Below are 6,000 nucleotides of genomic sequence, written 5' to 3' on the forward strand. Positions count from 1 at the left end.
TTATCTGTCTTCCAAGCCTTCTGAGGGAGGAAGAGGAGTGAACACCCATTTCACCATGAACCACAGCACCAGGCCCTCCTCATTGAACCCTTGTGGCTGGCTGGTCCCTATGGATCCAGACTCTAGGCCATCCCCTGCATCCCTGGGCTCCAGGCAAGACCCCACATCCCAAAGACCCAAGCTCACCCAACACCAGGCTGGCCCCCACATCCCCAGGCTTTAGGCTGGCCCCCACAGACTAAGCCTCCAGACCAGCCCCACAGACCCAGGCTCCAGGACTGCCCCAATGCCATGCCACCAGCCCCCATGGCCCTAGCCACCAGGCTGGCACCTGTGGCCCCAAGTTCCAGCAGACCCAGGCTCTGGGATCCCTCCCATGGACCACCCCCATGGACCCAGGACCCAGATCCAGCTCTGCAGACTCAGGTTCCAGACCTGTCCGAGCACCAGGCTAGCCCTTGTAGACCAGGCCCACCTTGAGAACCCAGACACCAGGCCTGCCCTAGCACCAGCACACTCCCCAGCAGACTCATGCTCAAGACCCATCCCAGGGCCAGGTTAACTCCAATGGACCCGGGCTTCCTGTCAGCCCCTGTGGACACAGGCTGTAGGCCTATTCCTGCAGACTCAGGCTCCAGGCCCTCTCCAGCAGACCCAATCACCAAGACCACACCAGTGAACCCCAGTGTCAGGCCATCTCCATGGACTCAGGATTAAGGACTGTATCCACAGACCGGGGTTGCAGATTCACCTCTGCAGACCCAGACACCAGATCAGCCCATCTGAGGACTTCAGAAGTAAGCCTTGAACTCATCAGATGGTCCTTCCAGAATCACAAAATAATAATCAGGGAAACATGACACCACCAAAGGTAAAAAAAATTAAAGCACTAATAACCTGACCTTAAAAAATTGAGATACACGGCCAGGCATGGTGGCTCATGCCTGTAATCCTAGCACTTTGGGAGGCCGAGGCAGGCGGATCGTCTGAGGTCAGGAGTTTGAGACCAGCCTGGCCAAGATGGTAGTAGAGATGGTGAAGCCCCGTCTCTACTAAAAATACAAAAATTAGCTAGGCACGGTGGGGGGTGCCTGTAATCCCAGCTACTTAGGAGGCTGAGGCAGGAGAATTCCTTGAAGCCGGGAGGCAGAGGTTGCAGTGAGCCCAGATCGCGCCACTGCACTCCAGCCTGGGTGACAAAAGCAAGATTCCATCTCAAAATATAAACGTAAAAATAAATAAAAAATAAATTGGGATACGCAAACTTCATGAATTTGTATCTCAAAATAATTTGTAATTATTTGAAAATTTGTAAGAATTCAAAATAATCATCTTAAAGAAGCTCAAGGAGCTATAAGAGAACACAGATAACTAAATGATTATTAGGAAAACAATTCATGAACAAAATGAGTTCAACTAAGGGAGATCTTCACCAAGAGACATTATGGTGAAATTCTCAAAAGTCAAAGACAGAGGCCAGGCAGGGTAGCTCACACCTGTAATCTCAGCACTTTGGGAGGCTGAAGCCTTTATCTCATACCATATACAAAAGGCAACTCAAAACCAGGCCAGGCGCAGTGGTTCATGCCTGTAATCCCAATACTTTGGGAGGCCGAGGCAGGCAGATCATTTGAGGTCAGGAGTTCGAGACCAGCCTGGGCAACATGGTGGAATCTTGTCTCTACTAAAATATAAAAATTAGCCAGATGTGGTGGCACACACTTGTAATCCCACCTATTCCAGAGGCTGAGGTGGGAGGATCACTTGAGCTCTTGGGGCAGAGTTTGCAGTGAGCCGAGATAGTGCCACTGCACTCCAGCCTGGGTGACAAAGCAAGACCCTGTCTCAAAAAATAAAATAAAATAGGCCAGTCATGGTGGCTTATGCCTGTAATCCCAGCACTTTGGGAGGCCAAGGCAGACAGATCACCTGAGGTCGGGAGTTCAAGACCAGCCTGACCAACATGGGGAAACCCCATCTCTACTAAAAACAAAAACAAAAAAACAAAAACAAAAACAAATAACAAAAGCAAAAACAACCAAAAATCCTTTTATCAGATAAATACAATTGCATCAAACTATACAGCACAAATTATACTGCTCACCAAAGAAAATGATCAACAGAGTGAAGAGACAACCTACAGAATGGGAGAAGATATTTTCAAACCATTTATCTGATAAAAGTTTTTTTTTCTTTTTGACACAGATTAGTCTCATTCTGTCACCCAGGCTGGAAAAAAAATATATTTTATATATATATATACAAATTGGTATAGCCATTGTAGAAGAAAAGCATGAAATTTCCCCAAAAAATTAAAAATAGAGCTACCATATGATTCAGCAATCTCACTTTTGGATATACATCCAAAGGAAATGAAATCAGTATGTCGAAAAGATATGTATATACATGTTCATTGCAGTGTTATTTTCAATAGCCAATATATGGAATCAACTTACGTGTCCATCAACAGAGGGACAAAGAATGAATAAAGAAAATGTGCTATACATAATGGAATATTACTCACTCCTCAAAATGAAGGAAGTCCTGTCATGTTCAAGAACATGGATTAACCTGGAGGACATTATGCTAAGTGAAATAAGTCAGGCACAAAAGGCAAATACTGCATGATCTCATTTTTATGTGGAGTTGAAAAAGTTTAAATTCATAGAAGGAGAGAGGAGAATGCTGGGGGTGAGAGAAGTGGGAAAATGTTCATCAAAGTAAACAAAATTTCAGTTAAACAGGATGAATAAGGTCTGGATTAATAAGTCCAGCATAATAACTATCGTTAATAATATTGTATCGTGTGCATGAAACTCACTAAAAGAGTATATCTTAAATTTTCTTAGCACCAAAAACAAAATTGTAACAATGCAACATGATGAACACATTAATTAGCTTAATTGTGGCAATCATTTCACAGTGTATATACATATCAAAACAACTTATATCACATTGTATAATATTAATATACACAATATTTATTTATTTATCTTTGGAGATGGATTCTCACTCTGTTGCCCAGGTTGGAGTGCAGTGGTATGATCTCAGCTCACTGCAACCTCTGCCTCCCAGGTTCAAGTGATTCTCGTGCCTCAGCCTCCCGAGTAGCTGGGACTACAGGCATACGCCACCACCCTTGGCTAATTTTTTGTGTTTTAGTAGAGATGGGGTTTCATCATGTTAGCCAGGCTGGTCTCGAACTCCTGACCTCAAGTGATCCGCCCACCTCAGCCTCCTCAAGTTCTGGGATTACAGGCGTGAACCACCACGCCCAGCGTAATATATACAATTTGTATTTGTCAGTTATAGCTCCATAAAGAGGAAAAAAAAGTAGCAGTAAGAAAAATAAAATAACATTTTATGTGATATTATGTATATTATTAAAAATTGGATGGAAATAACTGAAATGGAGAAAACATAGGCCAATATAAGGTCCCCAGAATGGCAGGCACAAGTTTGGTGGCCGGAGAGGTTGTGGTGGAGGCGTTGCCTTATTTTGATCAAGGTTATGAAGCCCCTGGTGTGTGGAAAGCTGCTGAGGTGCTGGTGGAAGAGCAAACTCACCTACTAAGAGCTACCTGAGCTGCCTAACAGCCCCGAATTATTCTGCATTTGAAATTCTAGACAGCATTTAACCCAGAGAAGAATTAGGGGAAGGAAAATAATCCATTATAATGACTGACATAATGAGAAATGAATTTGCAAGACTGGCTGCTCGACAACCAATTGAATTGCTCAGTACGAAATGATATGAGCTTCCAGCCCCTTTCTCCCATCAAAAAAATGACACTGCTGCATGGTAAGAATGTGTAAACAATTTTATTGCCCAGTTAAAGCAGCAAGCAGTTAGAACTGAGACTCTGGAACTAATGTCACAGCATGGATATAATGCCTAGAAAGTTTACAATGAAAATCTAGTTCGTATGATTGAACACTCACAGAAAGAACTTCAGAAGGTAAGAAAACATATTCAAGGCTCTCCCTCTCCCTCTCCCTCTCCCTCTCCCTCTCCGTCTCCCCACGGTCTCCCTCTCCTACGGTCTCCCTCTCCCTCTCTTTCCACGGTCTCCCTCTGATGCCGAGCCGAAGCTGGACTGTACTGCTGCCATCTTGGCTCACTGCAACCTCCCTGCATGATTCTCCTGCCTCAGCCTGCCGAGTGCCTGCGATTGCAGGCACGTGCCTCCACGCCTGACTGGTTTTCGTATTTTTTTGGTGGAGACGGGGTTTCTCTGTGTTGGCCGGGCCGGTCTCCAGCTCCTAACCACGAGTGATCCGCCAGCCTCGGCCTCCCGAGGTGCCGGGATTGCAGACGGTGTCTGGTTCACTCAGTGCTCAATGGTGCCCAGGCTGGAGTGCAGTGGCGTGATCTCGGCTCGCTACAACCTCCACCTCCCAGCCGCCTGCCTTGGCCTCCCCAAATGCCGAGATTGCAGCCTCTGCCCGGCCGCCACCCCGTCTGGGAAGTGAGGAGCGTCTCTGCCTGGCCGCCCATCGTCTGGGATGTGAGGAGCCCCTCTGCCTGGCTGCCCAGTCTGGAAAGTGAGGAGCGTCTCTGCCCGGCCGCCATCACATCTAGGAAGTGAGGAGCGTCTCTGCCCGGCCGCCCATCGTCTGAGATGTGGGGAGCGCCTCTGCCCCGCCGCCCCGTCTGGGATGTGAGGAGCGCCTCTGCCCGGCCGTGACCCCATCTGGGAGGTGAGGAGCGTCTCTGCCCGGCCGCCCCATCTGAGAAGTGAGGAGACCCTCTGCCTGGCAACCGCCCCGTCTGAGAAGTGAGGAGCCCCTCCGCCCGGCAGCCACCCTGTCTGGGAAGTGAGGAGCCTCTCCGCCCGGCAGCCACCCCGTCCGGGAGGGAGGTGGGGGGGTAAGCCCCCCGCCCGGCCAGCCGCCCCGTCCGGGAGGGAGGTGGGGGGTTTCAGCCCCCCGCCTGGCCAGCCGCCCCGTCCAGGAGGGAGGTGGGGGGGTCAGCCCCCCGCCCGGCCAGCCGCCCCGTCCGGGAGGTGAGGGGCGCCTCTGCCCGGCCGCCCCTACTGGGAAGTGAGGAGCCCCTCTGCCAGGCCACCACCCCGTCTGGGAGGTGTACCCAGCAGCTCATTGAGAACGGGCCATGATGACAATGGCGGTTTTGTGGAATGGAAAGGGGGGAAAGGTGGGGAAAAGATTGAGAAATCGGATGGTTGCCGTGTCTGTGAAGAAAGAAGTATACATGGGAGACTTTTCATTTTGTTCTGTACTAAGAAAAATTCTTCTGCCTTGGTATCCTGTTGATCTGTGACATTACCCCTAACCCTGTGCTCTCTGAAACATGTGCTGTGTCCACTCAGGGTTAAATGGATTAAGGGCGGTGCAAGATGTGCTTTGTTAAACAGATGCTTGAAGGCAGCATACTCCTTAAGAATCATCACCACTCCCTAATCTCAAGTACCCAGGGACACAAGCACTGCGGAAGGCCGCAGGGTCCTCTGCCTAGGAAAACCAGAGACCTTTGTTCACTTGTTTATCTGCTGACCTTCCCTCCACTATTGTCCTATGACCCTGCCAAATCCCCCTCTGCGAGAAACACCCAAGAATGATCAATAAAAAGTAAATAAATAAATAAATAAATAAAAAGAAAACATATTCAAGAGTTTAACGGGCAGAGAAAGAACATGCAACTCGCTGGATCTAAATTGAGAGAAATGGAGTCAAATTGGGTATCCCTGGTCAGTAAGAATTATGAGATTGAACAGACTATTGTTCAACTAGAAAATGAAATCTATGTGGCCGGGTGCGGTGGCTTATGCCTGTAATCCCAGCACTACGGGAGGTCGAGGCAGGTGGATCACGAGGTCAGGAGTTCAAGACCAGCCTGGCCAAGATGGTGAAAGCCCGTCTCTACTAAAAATACAAAAAATTAACCTGGCAAGGTGGCGGGTGCCTGTAATCCCAGCTACTCGGAAGGCTGAGGCAGAGAATTGCTTGAACCTGGGAGGTGGAGGTTGCAGTGAGCCGAGA

The 6,000-nt window shown here is 48.6% G+C and overlaps 1 pseudogene; it reads left to right on the top strand.

The window, feature by feature from the left end:
• BCAS2P1 (BCAS2 pseudogene 1) lies at positions 3,423 to 5,765 on the top strand (annotated as a pseudogene).

Source organism: Homo sapiens, chromosome 11 (assembly GCF_000001405.40).
Source record: "Homo sapiens chromosome 11, GRCh38.p14 Primary Assembly".
NCBI lineage: Eukaryota > Metazoa > Chordata > Mammalia > Primates > Hominidae > Homo > Homo sapiens.